General features: G+C 49.7%; 1 protein-coding gene and 1 long non-coding RNA gene across 2 annotated transcripts in view; one reads left to right on the top strand and one right to left on the bottom strand.

Moving 5' to 3' along the window:
- Nucleotides 1-21,723, bottom strand: part of SLC6A17 (solute carrier family 6 member 17) — a 51,709-nt gene that overhangs the window by 18,147 nt on the left and 11,839 nt on the right. Inside the window, exons 2-6 of the mRNA NM_001010898.4 lie at nt 16,841-17,213; nt 11,839-11,996; nt 9,957-10,083; nt 9,096-9,277; nt 7,317-7,427 (exon numbers count right to left, since the gene is read on the bottom strand). Of these exons, the coding sequence (NP_001010898.1) occupies nt 7,317-7,427; nt 9,096-9,277; nt 9,957-10,083; nt 11,839-11,996; nt 16,841-17,126 (864 nt within the window). The 5' untranslated portion in view covers nt 17,127-17,213. The remainder of the gene's footprint in view (nt 1-7,316; nt 7,428-9,095; nt 9,278-9,956; nt 10,084-11,838; nt 11,997-16,840; nt 17,214-21,723) is intronic.
- On the top strand, nt 15,205-18,108 carry SLC6A17-AS1 (SLC6A17 antisense RNA 1). Its single transcript, NR_183667.1, has 3 exons — nt 15,205-15,629; nt 16,863-17,225; nt 17,742-18,108. It is a non-coding gene; the product is annotated as an SLC6A17 antisense RNA 1 (long non-coding RNA).

The raw sequence follows: 21,723 nt of genomic DNA, 5'->3' as shown, positions 1-21,723 counted from the left end.
GAGATGTTCAAATGTGAAAAACTGTCTATCTTGGAGTTGCGGAAGTGTTGGCGATCTCCATGCTAGAGAGTCCACTGCACACTCCTGACCCCTAGCCTCCAGGGGGCCCTTCGTGCTGCCACTGCCCACACATTTCTCCCATCTCTTACACAGTTACTTCACACTCACTCCTCCTTAGCCCTCCAAGTCCTCCTCCTCCCTTCCTGCTCTCAGACAATCACCTTGTCTCCTACTTCACTGCGAAAAATGACACAATCAGAAGAGAGCTCCTTCCCACAGCATCTCACCTGCCAGCGTCCATGCGCCGTGGCCCAGCCTTTCCCTCCTGCTACTATGGGGACTGTGTGTGGTCCTAGCTGAGACCAACTCTTCCAGCTGAGCACTGCAGTCTCTCCCTCCTGCTTATTTCTCCTCTCCTATGACACAAACTACCTTCTCTTTTTTGAATTTTTTAAGTGCACAATTCAATCGTTTTTAGCGTATCACACTGTTGTGTAACTATTACCACACTCAATTTTAAAACCTCTTCATCACCCCAAAAAGAAAACCCAAACACATAGAGTCATTCCCCATGTCTCCCCCAACCTCCCCACAAGCCCAGTACTAACCACTAATCCACCTTCTTTCTCTATGGATTCACCTATTCTGGACATTTCATATCATTGGACTCATACCGTGTGTGGTCTTTTGTGTTTGGCTTCTTTCATTTAGCTTAAAGTTTTCAGGAGTTGCATGTTGCAATGTGTATCACTGCCTCATTCCTTTTTATGGCTGGATAATATCCCACTGTATGCATATACCACATTTTAAAAATTTATTCATCAGTTGATGGACATTGTGTTGTTTCTACTTTTTGGCTATAATACACAATGCTGCTATGAACATTTGTGTATAAGTTTTTGTGTGAACATGCTTTCAGTTCTCTTGGATATGTGCCTAGGAGTGGAATGGCTGGGTCATATGCTAACTCTGTTTAACCTTTTGAGGAACTGCCACGCTGTTTTCCAAAGCCATTATACCATTTCACATTCCCACCAGTGGTGTATGATGGATTATTTTTATCATATAAATTGTGAAATAACACCCTTGACCCCATGACCCTCTCCAGTTACCATCCCATTTCTCATTTCTCTGCTCCTGTATCGCAAAACTCCTGAGAATAACTGGTATCTATTACTTGTCTCCAATTCCTCGCTCCCATTTTCCCTTCAACCCATTATTATTAGATTTGTCCTCAGCACTCCACCCAAGTAGCCCTTGTTGAGGTCACTAGTGACCCCTCTGTTGCCAAGTGCCTCGGTCAATTCTCAGACCTCATCACCTGACCTCTCAGCAGCTTTGGACATGGCTGATTGTTCCCTCTTTCTTAAAACATTTTCTTCACTCTGCATCTAGAATGTCTGTTTGTCTGTCGGCCTGCCTGTCTCTCTCTCTGCTCCTATTCTTCGACCTCCCCGCCACCGCCCACCCACAGCTATCCCGCCCTCAGCCTCTAAACACCAGGGCCCCAGTGCTCAGCTCTCTTCTCTGTCTTTGTTCATTCTCTAGGTGATTGTGAACCAATCTGTGGCTTTAAATTCTCTCTGTTATCCCGCACTCCCAAATGTAGACCTCCACACCTGACCTCTAGATCCATACATCCAACTGCCTCCTCAGCATCTCCATGTGGAGATCTATTAGATATTTTAAGCCTGCCATGTCCAAAAGAGTACTCTTGATGTTCCCCACCAAATCTGTTCCCTCCACTGTCTTCCCCATCTCCATGAATGTCAATTCCATCCTTCCAACTGCTCATGTAAAGGGCCACAGTCATCCTTGACTCCTCTCTTCCTCTTACACCTCACAACCAATCCAACAGCAAACCCTTTTGACTCTGCTTCTGAAATGTATCTTCCATCGAACCAACTCTCATCACTCCCATTGCCATCACCTGGGCTCAAACCCCAGTCATCTCTCACCTGGAGGACCTCCTGACAGGTCTCCCTGTCCTGTCCTCATTCCCTCAGATTTTCTACAGAAGCCACTTAAGAGGCTTAGAATGATCGTCCTAAGAAGTCAGATCATGCTACTCCTCTGCTGAGAACTCTCGATGGCTCCCTTTTCACCAGAGTAAATGTCAAACTTCTTACCTTAACCACAGGACCCTCATGATCCGGCTGTACATTACTACCGACCATACGTCCTACCTCCTTCCCCTCCTATTCGAGCCACACTGGCCTCTTTGAATATGCCAGCCACAGCCAGTCTCAAGTCCTTTTCACACTCATTGTTCCCTCTGTTCAGGATGGAATGCATTACTTCTAAATATCCACATAGCCTGCTCCCTGGCCTCCTTCAGGTCTTCATTCATACGTCACTTCTCAGCAAGGCGTTCCTTGACGGTACTGTCCATAATTGCAACTCTTCTCACCGAATGCCCTAAACCTCCTTTCTCTGCTTTATTTTTCCCCTTGGCATCAACAGTTAATGACAATTCTTTATCTTATATTATCTGACAACATCTGTCTCCCTCCACCAGAACGTAAGCTCCATGAGGACCAGGAAGTCTGTCTGCTTTGTTCACTGCTGGATCCCGTGACTCGGAACAGTGCACGTAACAGGTGTTCAATAAACCTTTGTTGAATGAATAAGTGAATGATGGTTATTTGGGTTGTTTTCAATCTTTTTCCACTAAAACAAATGCTGTAATGAACAACATTGTACACTGATCATTTTGCTTACGTATGAGTACATCTGTAGGACAAATATGTAGAAGTTAAATTGCTGGGCTGAAGGATATGAACAGTTGTAATTTTGATAAACATTCTCTGAACATTTTGGTGGTTAAAAATCCGACCATAATCTACCACTTTATATCAAGCAAATCACATGATTAATTGCAGGTAGCCCATGCTGACCTGGGTTTTTACCTACATGGAAAGAAAGTAATCAGGAGAAAAGCTGCCCGAGGAATTCAAGAAGTTCATTAGCCGTCAACACGAGTTACTGTCCTACCAACGATGCTAATGGGTCATCATGGCAGCTTGGCCACATCGCATTCATCATACCCGGTAACTGTCTGCTTGAAGACATGGACTGCAAAGTCCAGGTCCGATAGCCTGAATTATTTCTGATGTTGGAAGGCTCTATGGAAGGGAAGGCCTTCCAGGTCATTTAGCACAATCTATGGAGAGCCTATGCTTCTCCCACATGGGCTCTGAGATGCCCTGGCCAAAAATTCTTGGACTCTGCCAGAGGTACCAAACAGCATGACCCCTGGGGATGTCATTTATATTATAGTCTATATGAATGGAGCAGTGCACAGCACGGGCAGCTAGGGCAGTGACCTGGTACTTTACAGCATCATTGTAGGGCAAGAACTTGAAATGGCTCCTAGGACCCCTCATATCTCCCCAATCCTGTGCTGAAAACAGTCACAGCTCTGCAACAGTAGTTTGCCACATATAGACTGTCAGGCCATTGTTTCTGAGAGTCGGCCTACCCTTTCTGCAAATGACTTGGAGGGATTTGTAAATAGGAACCTCACCCCAGCCATCACCATTGGCCTCACTTGCCTGACTCCCTGAGGGGGCTTGGATGGAGCCCCCCAGAGCTTCCTTCTCAGCCAGCTCAGCTCAACCATGGGGTGTAAGATGGGGAAAGGCAGATTAGCAGTAGTGTGCTGGGGTTTTTGTTCCTGCAAAACCTCTCCTGCCCATCCCCCAAAATGTGGGTTTGTTTTTAGCCATTCCCAGGAATATAAGAAGGAATGATTTTAGATGAAATTGTAAGGTAGGGGACGTTTCTATTTAACCCTCCACTCTTGCCACCTGGCCTTCAGCCACCAATTTTCATGAAGCCAGTTTATCAGCTGGAGAGCATGGGATGTGGAGTCTGTGGACATGAGTTCAGGTTTGCCTCTGCTTCTTGCCAGCTGTGTAGCTTCGGGAGAGTCACTTTATTTTTATGTTGATTTTTAATTAATTATTTTTTGGAGATGGGGTTTCACTATTGTTACTCAGGCTGGTATCTAACTCTTAGACTCAAGGGATCCTCCCACCTCAGCCTCCCAAGTAGCTGAAATTACAGGCACACGCCACCGTGCCTGGCTCCTGGATTTGATTTTTTAAAGTCTCATGAAGACCCTGGCCTCTGCAAATGCCAAAGTGGATTCACATGGTTTCCTGAACATCCAGGAAACTGTTTTAGAAAGAAGCACCCCAAGGCCAGGCGCAGTGGCTCACGCCTGTAATCCCAACACTTTGGGAGGCCAAGGCGGGCGGATCATCTGAGGTCGGGAGTTCGAGACCAACCTGACCAACATGGAGAAACCCCGTCTCTACTAAAAATGCAAAATTACTCAGGTGTGGTGGCGCATGCCTGTCATCCCAGCTACTCGGGAGGCTGAGGCAGGAGAATAGCTTGAACCCGGGAGGTGGACGTTGTGGTGAGCTGAGATCGTGCCATTGCACTTCAGACTGGGCAACAAGAGTGAAACTCCAACTCAAAAAAGAAAGGAAGGGGAGGGGAGGGGAGGGGAGGGGAGGGGAAGGGGAAGGGAAAGGAAGAAGGAAGGAAAGAAGCACCCCCTACTGCTCAAAGTGTACATAAACCATTTTGCATCCACCTAATTGGCAAAAATTGAAGACTGACAAATGTGGAACAACTGGGATTTTCATGTACAGCTTGTGGGAGTGTTAGCAGATACAACCATTTGGGAGTGCAATTTAGTCAACATTGAATAAGACTGAAGATATGCATACCCTTTGAGACAGCAATTCCATTCCTAAACATAGATACCCTAGAGAAACATGTATGCATGAAGACCTGCGTAGTGTTTATTGTAACATTATTAGCAATGGTGAAAACTGGAAACAACTTAAATGATCATTTACTAGAGAATGAATAAATACATTTCAGTTTAGTCCTACAGCGAAATACTATGCATCCATGAAAACTGATGCACTAGAGCTATACACCAAAATTGGTAAATCTTAGAAAATCATGTTAAGCAAAAATAAAAGCAAGTTGCAGAATACATATAATATGATGTCATTTATGTAAAGGTTAAAGGTATGCAGAAATGCTAAACATTGTTTATGGATACACATATATGTATAACAAATTTCAAAGAATGTATGATCAAGACAAATCCCAAATTCAGGAAAGTGGTTGCTATAATCTGGATGTTAGTATCCCTTCAAAATTCCCATGACAGAACCTAATACTCAGTGTGATAGATTAAGAGGTGGGGGTCTTTGGGAGGTGATTAGGTCATGACGGTGGAGCCCTGACGGGATTAGTGCCCCTATAAAAAGAGGCTCAAGTGAGCTCCCTTGAACTTCTGCCATGTGAGGATGCAGTGAGAAAGCACCATCTTTGAAGCAGAGAGTCCTCACTAGATACTGAAGCTGGGTGCCTTGATCTTGGACTTCCCAGCCTCCAGAACTGTGAGCAATAAATTTCAATTGTTTATAAATTATCCAGTCTAAGGAATTTTTGTTGTAGCAGCAGGAATGGAATAAGACAGTTGCTATCTTTGGGAAGGGAAGGGAATGGGATCAGGGAGGGCTACACTGGCACTTTAATGGCATCTGTAATATTTTATTTCCTAAGAATTTTTATTCTATTATTAGATATGTGTTTACATGCCTGAGATATTTCATAATTAAAGAGATAAAGTGTGTCTGAATCCAGTGGGGAGCAGTATTGTGTGTGTTGGGACCAGCAGCTGCTCCTGTGAATCTGTTCCTCTTGCTCCTAGAGTTACATACAGGGGGCCCTTAACAACATTGAGGGGCCCATCTGGAGACCTCTGTAAAAGTCCACACTCAGGAACAACACCAGAGCATATAATTTCCTCCTAAAGTTTAGTAAAGTAGAATTGGAAAACTGAAGTGAACGTTTTAGACTGATCATGGTTCTAGAAATACAGTTGTAATCTGTTAAAAACAGTTGGCTTTCTTTTCATGGCTATTTTCTCCCAAAGAAACCAGGTTTTTTATTTTTTCTTTGTCAGATATCATGTGTTTACAACAACCCTACGGCCAGCCACATGGCTCAGGATTCACATTCATGCCTCAGGAGATTCATTAAGTGCTTCATAAAGTGGACCTTTGAAGTTGGTCACGTGTAAACCTCTGATGTTATATCCAAGAACACTGAGGGACCATTTAGGCACTGTCTGGTGACTATGGAGTGGCGTGTGCCCTAGCCAGTACTACCCCTGAGACATCAGGAGCCTACAGGGATTTCCAACCCTATCAGATCTGGGTTCTTCTTCCTGTGTCATCCTGCATGAACTGTTTGTGTAAAGGGGTGTGTGTGTGTACACACATGTGCAAGGTGGCACCAATGAACACTGAGGCCTTCAAGCTGGCCTGACAGAGCTCTGACCCTGTGCCCATGGGCTATAGTCTCACCAGGTCCCTGCTGGTTGCTACTGATCAGCTGGCATTTAGAGATGGACTCTCAGCCTGACCAGCTGGGGTTTCTGATGTACAGGGCTTGGGGCAACTTAGAGGGAGTGCCAATCTGCATTTGAAAATCTTTTAGTCCTCCATGGACTGAGGCATGCCAGTTGTGCCCAGTGGTCTGAAGGGTCATAGAGAGGCAAGGCCATGGGTGGAGACAGACCGTCTTTAGGGAACCTGGGTATACATCTTCAGGATGCCCGTGCCTCTGCTGCACCCTTTGTGAAATGTGAACAGTGATCCTGCTCATCTTGCTCCCCGGGCTATTGAGAGAATTAAGAGGAAGTGTGAATGGCTTTGGTAAGGTTAAAGTCACCACTCATGTAGTCTATTATCTTTAATAAAATAGTAACTTCTTTCCTCTGATTTGGGTACAAGGGGAGATTCCCAGGAGCTTTCTTCTCTTAGGCATCTTCTTGGTTCCTGCTGCCACACAATGAAAGCCCCCATGAATGAATGAATGAATGAAGCTCCCTGCTCTCATACCCTAGCTAAACCTGACTTCCCACTGTTGCCTCAAGCACGCCCAGTGTTTTCCCACACCCTTGCTCATGCAGTTCCCTTTGATTATAATGTCCTATGGCAGCTCACTGCAATCCTACCTGCTCCCTAAGGCTCTTTCAGATGTTACCTCCTCTCTGAAGCCTTTTCTAATTTCACCCAAATCGATGTGACACGCCTCTCCTTGGAACCTGGAGGGCAGGGCCCATGCCCCCTTCCCTGTGCATCTCTCCAGGGCCTGGTACGATACCCAACACATAGCAGGTGTTCGGAGTGCATTAAATTCCATGAAATTGCAGGAAGCTGACCAGGCCCAGTAGACCTGTTGCTGTTCCCTGGCATGTGGGAGCCCCAAACCCTTACCTTGGGAGTGAACATGTGTAGGATGCCATCAACTGCCCCTCGCAGCAACAGCCCCCGGACCAGGAAGCAGGCCAGCACCACGTAGGGGAAGAGGGAGCTGAAATACATCACCTGCAGAGAGGACAGGGAACCCCCATCAGGCAGAGCCCTTCCTGCAGCTGGCACCCCCCATCCCTGCTCACATCTGGGGCACATGAGCCGCCCCTGATGGCAGCAGAAAACAGAGCCCTGGAACCCCTGGGCAGAGGGCCAAAACTGCCACACATCTGGCATGGAGCCAAGGCAGAAGCAGGAACAGGACAAGCTGGAGTCTGCATGGCTGTGCCCGGGGTTGGTTTTCTCCCTTCCAGAGCTTCTGGGGCTGAGCTAACAGCCTCCTCACCCCAGAGGGCTGCCAAGGGGGTAAGGGAGTCCTTTGCTGTCCCCTCCTCATTCTCCCATGTCTCATTCCCCCAGTGGGCCCCCTAAGGATCTCCCCTGTCCTTAGAGCTCCTTTGACGGAAGACCTTCAGGAGGTTATAGACACGGCTCCCAAACAGAAGACATCTGAAGAAGTCCCTAGCCCCTTGTGAGGATGAATCGTGTGCTCTTCTCTACCACAGCATTTCTCGCACATGTCTATATCCCTGCGTGCGTGGTACATGGCCTCACACGAGATGCTCACAAAATGTTTGCTGCACTGAAACAAAGGAAGAGGGCTGTTTGGGCAGGGTGGTGTAAAGGCTAAGAGAATGCAAGTCTGGTGTTAGGCTGCCTGAGTTCTAACCCTGGCTCTACCACTTACCAACATGTGGCCTCAGGCATTTCATTTAACCTCCATGAGCCTCCATCTCCTCATCTCTAAAATGGGTGTAATCATCCCTAACTCATAACGTTGTTGTGGACCAAATGCGTTCATACAGGTGGCAGTACCTGAGAAGTGCCACAAAGCATCAGCTACTATTTCAGCCTCTGGAAAGGGAAGAGGTCAATGGCTGGGGTCACTCTACCTTTCTAGAGCTTAGCTTCCTTGCTCATCAAATCTGGAAAAGAACCCGAAGCCTCAAACAGCCAGGGTTCTAGTTGCAGCTCTGAGACTGACTGGCTGCGTGATGTTAGCTGAGGTGCTTTCCCCTCTCTGGGCCTCACTTTCCTCATCTGTAAAATGAGTAGTCTGGGATACAGGATCTCTAATCCAATCCTTCTCATCCCTGGCAGCCCATGAATACTGGTATGTGACAAGTAAGAAAGGGCCCTTATTTAAAGGGGATCTGAAATGCTGGGAAGAGGTGTGGGGCTTGGCTGGTCTACCCCTCAGAGACTGCTATGGAGCTGCCCCCTGAGGCCTCTAAGGCCCCCTTCACTCATAGCGTCTACCTGCTCAAAGGGCCCTTTAGCTGTAGGCATGGCAAGCTGCTGGTTTTCACCAAGAACTGCTCAAAGCAGGCTCTTCTAGGGCTTTTGCTCTTGGGAACCTGAGGGTCTAGAATCTAGACAGACGTCCCTGGGTCAATACTTCTAGTTTTCCTCCTCTCTAATGTTTGCATTAGAGCAGGACTGAGTTATCTGAGCATGGAAGCAGCTGGGGTCCAGGGCAATGACTTTCCAGCTATTCCATTCCGGGTAGGCTGTCCATGGTGAGCAACACTATAGGAATGATACTTCCACACCCTCCTCTGGGGGCCTGTGTTATCCACCCAGAAGACCCTGCAAAGGGCAGCCTGGAATTCTTAGCCCTGTGCCCTCTGTGCCTTTCTGCTGTTCCCCATTTGGGTCCTGGGTGCCCCCCTCAGCACTCACCTTCCCCGAGGACTGGATGCCCTTAACGACAGCCATCCCCACGATGCTCCAGGCCACGAGGAGGCACAGGGTCATCTTCCAGTTGAGGCCCCCACTCTCCGAGATGGAGTCAGAGATGTCCAAGGCCTCTCGGTACCAGAAGTAGGTAGTGGCTGAGCTCTTTTCACACTCTGCCTCCACCACTGAAATAGCAGCAAAGGTCACAGGGCCTCAGTGGCAGGGCCTATGGGGTCACTTCCTCTGCTGGACCACCACTCAGGGCAGCAGTGGGTGAGGGAGCTGCTGAGGGTGGGCAGCTGGGAGGGGCTGTGCTCATCTTGGGTTAGCCGGGATCTGGCAGACCCTGAGGAATCCTAGGCTCCCACTGGGGTCTGGGAGGCTTCAGGACACACCAGCCTGGCTGATTCCCACCCATGCCTCCTGCTGCCCATGTCTCTCTATGGAAGGGAGGAAACGTGAGGCTGAATTGGCCTAAAGTTCCTCGGGGAAGGTCCTGAGCTGGGAGCTAGAGACCTGGATTCTCATCCCAGATCATTGGTTAGATGAGTGGTGTGAACATGGGAAAGTCGCTTCTGGGCCTCAGTCTCCTCATCTGTGAAGTGGAATAACAGGGTGAGTAATAACAGTTAAAGTCACGCTTTCCAGAGTTTTACCTACACTCACTGTCTTATTCAATCCTGTCAGAAATAGGCTGGAAAAGAGACCATTCCCACTGGGGAAGGGGAAATGAGGATCAGAGATGTTAAGTGACTTATCCAAGGGGACACAACAAGTCTGAAATTCCAAATGTGTGCGCTAAGCTTGTGAGACCCCTTCCTGGGACAGGGCTGGCTGGCATCCCCAGCTGGGCCCCATACTTGCCTGCCACGCTCCCATTCCTGACGACAGGACATTCACTCCAGGGCAGCGGGTACTGGAAGGACTTGAAGAAATAGAAGATGCTCCACCCGATGATCACATTATAATACAGCCCCACAAAGAGACAGACCTGGGGACAAGCCCACTGCGGGGTCACTGAGGCTGCAGGCAACTCCACCCTGCCCCCACGCTCCACCCGAGGCCCAGCACGTCGGCAGCGCCATAAACACAGCAGCACAGCCTCAAGAGAGGCAAGGAGGGATAGGGTGCGGGCCGTGGAGGAGCTCCCCTCACGCTCCATTCACGCTCCATTCATCTGGTATTCAGGAAATCCACAAAGGAATTTTTCAGATGTTAAAGTTCTCTCTTTTAAGCAACAAACTCTTAAAATGTTAATCCTTTCCAGTTTGAAATTCTTCTAAGATACTTGAAGTACTTTCTCCTCCTCATTTCCTGATGACTGGGGATTGTAATGACAGAGATGCCCTCCAGGACTGTGAAGGCATGCACAGCTTTGGCCCCTATGGTAAACAAACCCAGACTGCTGTGCTTTTAGAGACTTTGTGGGTGTTTCTTGTGGATTCCACTCTCTCGGGCATGTTAGCAGCCTGCCTCTAGAAAGATGGCACTTGTCATTTCTTGGAAACACAATAACTAACATTGGTAGAATTTTATTTAAAATAGGAGTGCATGGACTCTGCCTGAGGGTCCAAGGGGCTTCTTTGAAAGCAATGTTTCTATGGGCAGGGATTTGCTGCATCCACTCTGGACACAGGGTGGTCCCTTCCAGAGGCCTGGCTGTCTCCTGCATCAGTGAGACTGGCGCCAGTGTGAGAGCTGAGGGCCGCTTGCTTCATCAGTCTCACCTGAGCACATGTGTGCAGGAGCAGCTGCTCATAGAGCAGACCCTTCTGGGAGCACAGACAGAGTGAGACACCCACTTCTTTTACTTGGGTTCTTTCAGTCCAAGTGGGAGACCATACACACACTCCTGTGTATCAGCACACAGCCAGCCCCAGCAGAATACACGGCATTGGCCAGTGCAAAGCTGATGGCTGACGTGAGAGCAGGGGGCTGCAATAGGCCCTCTCCCAGTCTCTGCCTGAGGCAAGTTTGGGCTGGCCCTACTGCCAGGCCTGGCAGAATCCTTAGTCCCTTCCAGAAGTTCATTTCAGTCTTTATCCCAGGTGTGAGCAGTGAGCATGGTTCCCTGTAGGCTTTGCCCTTAAGGGATGCTGTTTCCTCACGTAGAGCTCTGAGCAGGTTCTCATCTGTAGCCTTGTGGATGAGCCTGGAGACCTCACAAAGTTCTCCATCCAGGGCCACTGGCGTCTCCCTGTCTCTCACTGTTCCAAAGCCTCACCCACCTTGGGTTGACCTTAAGTTTCCTGTGTAAGTTCTCCAACTCTGCTCTTTGGCATAGCAAAATGGCAAGGAGACCCTGAGCCCCAGGCCTGCCTTTTCCTGAGCTCCCTGCTTGCCTGCTTAAAATACTCTTTGACCAAGGAAAGAGGAGGGACCTCCCTCATGGGGAGCTGAGGGACTGATAAGCAGAGAAGGGCATCTGGGCTAGTCCATATGTTCCCAGAGAACTCTGGCTGAGCTGTCCCAGGCGGCCCCATGTGAATATGTCCCAGCTTTTCCTCCTTAGCACCAATGGCAAATCTTCCATGCTGTTTCAGGCAACGTGGTCGACTCTCAGTTTAGGAAACATGGTGACTGGGGTCCTGGAACCCCAGCTGTGAGTAATTCCCATGTTGAGGATCCCCCTCCCTGCCCTTGTCCTGACGTAGGACTCTGGCCTGGAAACTCGGTGACCTCGTCTCCAATGCCCAGGAGCAGCCCCCTGCCTCCCACTCAGTGCCTGCCCCAGCCCTTGACTCACTATGCAGCTGGAGAAGCCGATGCCCCCCAGGCGGGGACATATATAGTGCCACACACCGATGCTGCCGCGGCGGATCCTCTGACCCACAGCCAGCTCCAGGAAGAAGAGGGGGATCCCGATGATGATCAGCAGCACCAGGTAGGGCACCAGGTAAGCACCTGTGGGGAGAGCAGAGGGATGGCAGAGGGGCTCTGGAGCACAGCAGCAGAGTGAGGGAAGGGGCCGCAGCCATGTCTTCCAGTCTCAGCCACATCTCTGGTCATCCGCAAATTGTCACCAGTCCCGGTGCTCCTCCATGAATGATGTGGCCATACGTGTGGCCTACCACACAGCAGCCCACCCAGACCCTCCTTCTCCCCCTTGACTCCCCTGACCCGAAACACTAAGGGAGGAAGTGTATGTATGTCAACTCACAAGGCTAGGTTCAGAAACAGACAGACATTGCACTGCCTCTCCAGAATCCACATGTCAAGCCACACGCAGCAGACACACTCACCTCATGAGGCGCTCCGTGGACAGCTGTTCACACCCCCTCCTGACCACAGAGAAGCAGCCCCAGATGGCATGGGGGCTTACTCGCCCCCAGATGCACAGACACCGGGTGCAGCCTTCCCAGCGTCTGAACCAGACGCTGACACAGCAGACTGGGCAGCTCCAGGGAAGCTGAGCTTGGAAGCTCTCCAGGGAGAGGGGGTCTGACCAGCTTTGCCACTAATCTACAGCTAATTGAGAGGAATGGGAGAGAAATTAGCAGTTCAGGAAAGCATAGCCAGGAGGATCATAAAGGATAGAATGGGTCTCGCTAAAGATTCCAGATGATAAATTAATCTCGCTGTCCTGGGCCTCACTGCAGAAACAATCTCAATTCCAAGTGACAGGGCATTTAGCAGGAGAATTAAAACCATGTCTGGACACAGATGAGTGCACCCTGCTGAGAGCTGTGCCAACAACCTAGTCCTGTTAGCAAGGCCCTGCCTGTCTGTCAAACACTGTCAGGCCAGCCCCAGTCACCAGGGCCCTGATGGTCACCCAGCACCCTCTGACTAAGCCTTGCCAGTAGAGAGCCTCCAGAAGCCCCCAGCTACACTGCTCTGCCCCCATAACATAACATCCCACATGTTCACCAACGTGTGCCCAATCTGCCAATGAACACTGGCAATCAGCCATCTCCTAGGCACAAATTCTGGCAGTTGGCAACAATCAGCTATTTACTGCAGGTCCACTCTGAGCCTTGCACAGGCAGCGGGGGGACAGTGGAGTAACAGTAGGCACAGACACCATCCTAGAACAGTTCACGATCTGCCGGGGAGGCAGGCAGAGTCACGTGAGCAATATGAGCACACATGTATACACACACACACACACACACACCACAGACTAGTCACACAAGCCAACCATGCACATACATGCTGAGGAATGGGCCAGGGTCCAATGGAGCTAGTCAGGAAAGCCCATCGGGGAGGCAACCCACCGAGCTTTATATGACAGCATCTAACTCACTAGATGCACACGCACACATACATTCAACTCGTCACTAACAAGCAGCCCCATCATGGTGCTCAAAGGAGAGAGGGCTCAAAGGAGAGAGGGCCCAAAGGGCCACATGCTTAGACCCCTGGGTCTGTCTTTAACTCGGTCTCTTGGTTTTGGGTGTGGGGAAATGGAAAAGAAGCTAAGTGATCTGCTGCAGGAAGGCAAACGGAGACAGCCTCACCGGTTTTTTGTTTTTATTTTGAGAGGGAGTCTTGCTCTGTTGCCCAGGCTGGAGGGCAGTGGCGCGATCTCGGCTCACTGCAAGCTCTGCCTCCCGGGTTCACACCATTCTCCTGCCTCAGCCTCTCGAGTAGCTGGGTCTACAGGCGCCCGCCACCACGCCCGGCTAATTTTTTGTATTTTTAGTAGAGACGGGGTTTCACCATGTTAGCCAGGATGGTCTCGATCTCCTGACCTCGTGATCCGCCCGCCTCGGCCTCCCAAAGTGCTGGGATTACAGGTGTGAGCCACTGCGCCCAGCCAGCCTCACTGGTTTTGTATTTCGCCCCAGTGTTCTGGGTGGGGCAAGATGTGCAGGGATGTGAGTTTCAGGGTGTCTGCAAAGTGGGTTGGCACCTTCTATGGATGCCTCTTTTTTCTCCCCAAAGAACCAGGGAAAGCCTCCAGGTAACTGCCGCCAAAGAGTGACAGGGGTGGGAGAGCAAAGACAAGGTACTGGCCCCTCACCATCCAGGCTCTGTCCACCTCAGGCAGGCCGCCAGGCCCTGAAGTGACTGCAGGTCTCTCTACCACACCAAGGCCTAAACTAACCAGAGTGCTCAGGGGGCCGCGGTCAAGATAGGCAGAATTTGTGGTTAATAAGAGGTATTTTTTCATATCAACCTTTGTTGCAATCACTTGAAATGCAACAGCATCCTCTTCCGCCTTAGAAAATACAACTTGGGGACACAACTGGATTTCCTTTTATGTTTCAACAGCTTTCAGGAGCCTAAAGTTGTTCATCCGAATAGCGGGGAGCACTGTTCAGGATGTTAGGAGATTTATCAGGACAGGGCCAGGATCCAGGATCTCTGAGGCCTTCTGGATCTCTAATCATCTATGCCTCGGTCAGTATTCTAAGCCTTACTTCTGGCAAACCCCGAGGTTATTCCTGGGGTTTAAAAGACCATCTTGGTGGTAAGAGCCAGGTCCCGAAGTCAGACCTCTTGGTTTTAATGACTTACTAGCTGTGTGACTTTGGGAAAATTATTTAATCTCTCTGTGCTGCTGGTTTTCTCATCTGGGTAAAGAGGATGAAAATGTTACGTATAAAATTGCTGATATTTGACCATTTTTGACTTACAAAAATGGCCATTTCATAAGCTTTGACCCAACACCTATCACACAGGGCTGTTGCAAAGATTGAATGAGTGGCTTACCCATAGTAAGCACTGGTTGAACATTTGCCTTTTTCTCATAAAAATAAACAGAAGAAAAAGCAAACTAGGAAGATGTCAACATTTCGTGGAGCTAAGGAGAGTGTTCCAGAGTTTCTGTCCAGAACTATGCAAAGTTTGATTACATCGACTATGGCTCAAAAGCACAGACTCAACTCTCAGACCAAACAGCTGTCTCCTTCCTGTGATAATTTGCCTCCTCCTAAAAAATATTTAAGACAACTTGATATAGACTCTGTCTCAAAAAACAAACAAAGAAAAACCTGTAAAAATACTGGACAGTTAAAGGTAGAGATAAAAAGGGATTGCAGGAATCAGAGAAGATAGAAAAAGGAAGGCAGGAATGTGGAATGGAAAGCTCAGAATTCTGAGAGTTGACAATGCTTTTCCTCTAGGGTAGTTCTTTATGTCTGGTGCCATGGTGATTGGTGTCACTGTGAACAATCAGACTGTGGCAAGAACACTGCCCTGGGTGTGAGTGCTTGTGTGTGGCATAGAAAGGGATTCTGGAATTCATCACCAAGTGCCCAGGCAGAACTGATCATCTAAGCTAGAAAGAACAAGGTTAGAAGTTCCCAGCTAAGTCCTCCAATGCCACACGTCCTTTGAAGTCATTTTGGTTGCCTTGGAGCTCTTCTCAACATCTCACAGGGCATAAAGAAACCATATACTTGTATATCTTTGCTTTGGGCTAGTCTTACATCAACTCAGTTACCATGCCATGCAGGCCACAAGCTCTGATTGACAGTTACTTATTAAAAAGTAAAAAAGATCTTTCAAGCAAGGAGACCATGCAGCTAATATAACATGCTATGGGGGAAAGATGGAAGCCTTTGGCCTAATTCAATCACAAGAGTTCAGGTGGGCATTCTCACTCCCTGCCCTTCAAAAGAAACTGGAAAGGAGAAGCCTCCCAGCCAAATGTGGCCTTCTAAACTAGGGAAAGATGCATCCTGGAGAGGAGGGGACTGCGTCTTTGGAAAAGGTTACATGGCAAGAGTTCCACAAGCAAGGAAGGAAGGACTGGGGTAAAATGCCTGCCAAGCTGGGGCCACCCAACAGGCTGGAGCATGCCATGCCAGGCACAGGGACTCAGGAGCACAAGAGCTCTTGCTAGTTGACTTTCCCAGGACCAGAGGTCTGGGCTTGCAAAACTCTTTGTTTCCAGCCTATTGGGGTTTTCTTTATTTTTAGTTAGTTGATCTCTGGTTTCAGGGAAAGCTGCCTTTGGACAATTCCTGGGGGCTGGAAGTGGTGGTAGTGGTTTGATACCAGGGGCAACATCCTCAAGAGGGATTCAAGCCTAGGGGGCAGTGTGAAGGCCCCTCCTACCCGGAAGCAATAGGTGTGGAGGCTAAGTGCCCAGGCTCTGGGCAAGCCTGTCCAGGTTTGCATCCTGACTTTATCACTAGCTGTAACCTTGATCACCCACAACCTTGAACAAGTTATCTAACCAATTTGTGCCTCAGTATTGTAGTCTGTAAAACAAGGATGATAACAACTCCTTCATATAAGGCTGTTGGGAGGATTCGATGGTTGAATCACATAAAATTGGTGCTTTGTTGTTCTAAGATGCTCAAATATCAGCAGTTTCAGGCACTTAGCCCTAATATCCATTAAGCCCTTAGAACAGTGCCTAGTACCTCATAAGCATTTAGTAATAATGGCCAACAGGTGCTCCTTACCGTGTCAGGTAGCGTGTTGCCCATTCTGCACGTAAAGCTCATTTAATCTTCCCAACTATCCTATGAGGCAGGAGCTACTATTATTTTCATTTTGCAGATGAGGCACAGAGAGGTTAAGCAATTTGTAGTAGGTCCCAAAGTTGATTGGCAGGGCTGGAATCTGAACCCAGGCAGTCTGGGGCCAGAGCCCACTTTCTTATCATGTCCTGTAGTCTCTTGGTAGCTACTAACCATCATTATAGCTATTCCTGGGCTGTCTTACTCTGGAATCCTGAGCTCCAACCTACAAGGGCTCCAGTTCTGCCTCAGCAAAGGGGTGTTCTTTTTTACCCCTCATCCCCGGCCTATTTGCAGGGGACCCCTGATGCAGGCAGAGCTGTCTCTTACCTCCTCCATTTTTCTGGCACAGGTAGGGGAACCTCCAGATGTTGCCGAGGCCCACAGAGAAGCCAATCTGGGCCAGGATGTACTGCAGCTTACTGTTCCAGGCCGGCCGGTCCTCTGCATCCAGCTCCTCCTCCACCGCCTTCTGCTTGCCGCCTGCCTCACCAGCCACATTCAGTACACTCTGCTTATAGTCCACAGGCTCCTCGAGGGCCAGCAGGTCGGCCACGGACTCAGTGACATGCTCACTGCTGTGCTCACGCTGGGTCACTTTGCTGTTCTTCGGCATTGATGCCACCTGGGCCGTGTAGCCCTGCTCCCCAGCACACAGAGAAGATGGAATTCAGCTGCTGTCAGCTCCTTCTCATTCAGGGACCTAGGAAACCAGGTGAGCAGTAAAGGATTATCTGACCACACCAGGAAGGTGAGGAGCCCAACGTGGACACAACCCAAATTAACTCCCCATCACACTGTGAGGCAGGTCAAGGGCCTCATATATGCAGCTTGCCCTAGCTCCCCATCAGGGGCTGCCCGGTGAGGAGCTCAAGGCCTACAGACTCAGTTTCTCCAGAGGCTTGACCCGAGCATTATTTGAAAAGTAAACCTAAAGGGGCAAAATAGGCAAAGCCATACTCCGAACCCAAGTAGAGCATTATCCGTGAAGACATTTCCCTCTTCCATACTGCAGAGCTTAGAGTGCTCAAGCCCCTTTGGAGGCCCATACAGCCTTCCCCTTCCAGGTGTTCTGCTTAGCCAAAACCACATGGCGGAAGCCACGGAAGCCAGCGCCTTCCTTCCTTAGGGCCTTTTCATTCAAAATGCAGGGATTGCACCAGGAACTGGTTAGAAAGGGGCATCTTAGGCTCGCACCAGACCTCCTGAATCAATCTCTGCCTTTTTACAGGATCCCCAGGTGATTTAAAAAAAAAAAAAAGGCTCTTGAGCCATCACCAGGGGGCCCCTGGACACCAGTGCCGATGGCATCTCCATTCCCCTAGCTGGACTGGTTGACCAGGCTCAGCTAAAGATTCTGGCACCAGAAGCCAAGGGCTGTTTGCTCAGTGCCAATGAATCTTGGGTCATTGCTCAGCACTGACATTATCTGAGGACTTCTGCAGCCAAGAGCTGGTTCTCCATCCTTCAGCGACAGTTTTACAGCAGATAATGTCTGCACGACATGGGCGGAGGAGGCAAAACCCTCCCCTACTCCTGCCAGTCCTCATTTGTCTTTCATGCTTTCCCTTAAAGAAATAAAGCACCAAGAAAACGAAGCCTTTGAAGAATTCCACCATTCCGTTATATTTCAAGGCACCCCCTCATTAAGGGAAGGTTGGAGGATTTAAAATTAAACACACACACCCCAGCCTGCGGTTGCCCTGCATCTTTCTAGGGATGTAACTTACCCAGCTCTGTAATTACTTTATTAAGGGAAAGAGCTGTCTCTGGAAGCTGGGCTCCGTTTGTTCTCCTCGTAGGTACGTGCCACCTGAATGGCACAGGCAAGGCTGCTGTGCAGTTCAAGGGCCAGGCCCGTCCTTCCTGCCAGCCTTGACCCAGACATCCTGGCTGACCCCAGCCAAGGCCTGACCATCAAGGAGACCTGCCAGCCAGGCCCTGTTACACATGTAATGAAACTGGGAGGTTTATGGGGTTGGCTAGCCCTCCGTAGGCCAGGTCTTGGACCACATTAGCAGGTGACACCTGCTGCCCTCCTCTTCCAAGGGAACAGTGAGTCTTTAGTGACTGCCCCCTCACACCTCAAGCATAGACAGGGTTAGGCTTTGGGGTAACTATGACAGGGCCAGCCTGGTTAGAGGACCACAGAATTCCCTATAAGAAGCTCTCTGCTGGGACTCACTTCCCAGTGGGTCAGTTGAACACCCCATTGCATCCTAAAAGGTGCCCCACGGGTGGCACTTGTGCATCTGTGGAACTTTCAGCCCTGGGCCTCCCCCCAGGGCTGCCGTGTTGCCTGTGCTACACAAGTGAAGTACGGCCCTAGGAGTTACGCAACGGAGAGGCCTGTGTCCTTGCCTGGGCTGCCAGGGCGAGCTCCTCTCCTCACTCAGCAGGTCCCCGTCTGCAGGGCATGCAAACAGAGAAACGGCTGCCTGTCAAGGCATCTCCCCGTCCCCTACAGCTTACATACAGAGCTGTTACTAAAGATGAGATCTGGGAAGAAGGGTGGGGGTCCCTCTGGAGCCTGCAATCACTAGAGTTCCTTGGCTCAGAGCCTGTCTCCAGCCACTCTGCCTGCAGCAGGGTTTGATCAGAGCAGTGCATTAGGTATGATTTACTGATCATCAAGCCACAACTAGAGAAAACCAAGGGAGTTTCCTGCAAGTCTGCAGAATTTATCTTGCTGCTGACCAATTGGAGCACATGTTTCTCCATAAATAGCCTAGTGAGTGGCAGCTTCGGTCACCAAGATGAGAAAGGGCTGGGAGGAAAAAAGCATCATTTTAAAAGAAGAGGACTCCAGGACATTCTGGTAAAGCAGAAGGAGGATACCTACAGCAGCATCCAGCAACCACAGGGCATCAGCTAATACGAGCTTCCTCCTTCTTCCCAAGATGTCACTGACGCCATGCGCATCCCGCACTGAGGGATGGGGGCCCAAGAACTCCTGTGCCATTAGGTCTGCAGGATGCAAAGGGCTCGCACAAACCTCCAGGCTGAGGCACTGGGCTGGGCTGCAGTCATGACTGGAACCCTCTGTGTCCAGTGAATATGCCCAGGTGACAACAGGGTCAGACTCAGAAATTAAAGCTTGAGGGACCCTAGCAATTGTCCGACTCAACATTCCCATTTTATCTCTGAACAAACTGAGGCCCAGAGAGAGGAACTGAATTGCCCAAAGCTACTCAGGTTCTCCTAACACCCTGAACAGAGCCTTGTCTGGGACAGAGTCAGACTCAGTAGAGGTGGGGGACACAGGGAGAAGATCACTGGGTGTGGGAGTGGGAGGCATGAGCTGTGAAGCCAGACAGGCCTGGAGTTGAGAGTTCTCACTTCATTCATTGACTCACTCACTCACCTGACATACATTTCCTGAGTGCCTCCTATATGCCAGCCTCTGTTCTAGGTGTGAGGGATACAGCAGCAAACAAAACAGGCAAAGTGTCTCCTCTTGTGGAGTTTGCATTTCATGTGGAAGGGCCGGATACTAAAGAAATCGATGGATAATGTAATGGCCAGGGGTGATACATGGGGTGACTCCATGTATCTCCATGTGACTCCAGGGGAGTCACACCGGAGGGGTGGAGCAAGCTGGCAGGTGGCTCTTTTATGCTGGATGCGGGGGTTGGGGGGCAGTCAGGAAGGGCATCTCTGAGGAAGTGACATTTGAGCAGAGGCGTGAATGACAGGAAAGAGCATTGGCAGAGCGAACAGCAGACACAAAGCTCCCAAAAAGGAAACAGCCCTGGGAATTCCAGGAAGAGCAAGGTGGCCAGAGCCCCGGGGCAGAATGAGAGGCGGAGACAGGGAGAGGTGTGCTGGGGAGGGAGGAGCACGGCTGTGCTGTGTGTGAGGACTGGGGCAGGTGCTCTGAGGGAGGTGGGCAGCCCTGGGGCCTTGGCCACACACTAGCTGTGTGCTCTTGGACAAGGCACTTTAATTATGTGAGCGTCTGTCTCCTCATGGGTGAAAAGGTTGCATTTAATGATGGCTCCCATCTCCCAGGGAGGGCTGCTGTGAGGGTCCAATGAGCAGCCGCACACAGAGTGCCTGACATAGAGCTTGGCACACAGAAAGGACCCAAATGGTAGCAGCCACTGCCTGGAAGCCTTGCATTGTTTACCTTTATGCATTTAAAAAATATGTAAGTCCCCATATTGATATTTGGTCCCATCAATCCCATTTCTTCTCAAGAAAGGCCAAGGAGAGCTGACCATGGGAGTGGAGGTGGGTGGAGAGAAGCATCCTGCACCACCTCAGCAATGCCCACTTTCTTCTCCAGAACTGGTGTCCACCTAGGGCACCCCCTAGAAAGTCCTACCATGCACCACACCCCAGTGTCAAAGGAAGCCAGGCAAAGGTCCCGCAGCTACCAGCTTGGACCCAAAAGACCAGCAATATTATTATTAATAAAAACACGGCCTGTATTAAAAGTTTAGCATTATTGTTATTAAAATGTACCTCATGTTTGGAATAGCTTGAGACCGCTTAAAACCATTTTTTTTTTTTTTTTTTTTTTTTACCAACATGGGTTGGTGATCCTGCTCAGGAGTAAGATGGCCTGGGTTCCAACCCCAGCTCACTGCTTGCCAGCCACCTGGCCTGGGCAACTTTTCTAGCCTCTCTGAGCTTCAGTTTCCTCATGTGTCAAGGGAGGGTGCCAGCGGTGCCCACCTCACCATACTGTGAGGAGGATACATTGTACTGGTCTTAGAACCATGCCGGCACCCAAGAAGTGCTCATGAATGGTACCTCTTCTTCAGCTCTCATTCAATTCATACCCCAGTGGAAATAGTGACTTGGAATAACCCTCCCTGCTCCACCCCCAGTTCCCTGAAGCCATGTGCTGGTGAAAGGTGAGCTTTTAGAGCAGGCAGGGCCTGGGAATCCAAAGTGTACCCAGCCAATGACCCCAAAGCCTTGTCTGGGAGAAGCATCAGGATCAGAGAAGGACCCTGAGAGGGGCGATTCCTCTCTTCCCGTACCCATGTATCTCATGGAACCAGCCATAATCCAGGCATCAGCAGGCCAGCTAGGTGCTGGGCCTGACCAACCTACCGTGCAAACTGGTACTATTGCCCTAACTTCTCCGGATCTCAGTTTTCCTGTGTGTAAAATGGGTTGGCATGGATGGCCTCCAAGACCCCCTTCAGCTCTAGCATATATCTGTTGAGAGTCCCTCCTGCTTATGGGTGTGAGCAAGAAGC

Source organism: Homo sapiens, chromosome 1, assembly GCF_000001405.40.
Source record: "Homo sapiens chromosome 1, GRCh38.p14 Primary Assembly".
Lineage (NCBI taxonomy): Eukaryota > Metazoa > Chordata > Mammalia > Primates > Hominidae > Homo > Homo sapiens.
Note: the sequence above shows the minus strand (reverse complement) of the source record. Positions and strands in the feature narration are given on the sequence as shown.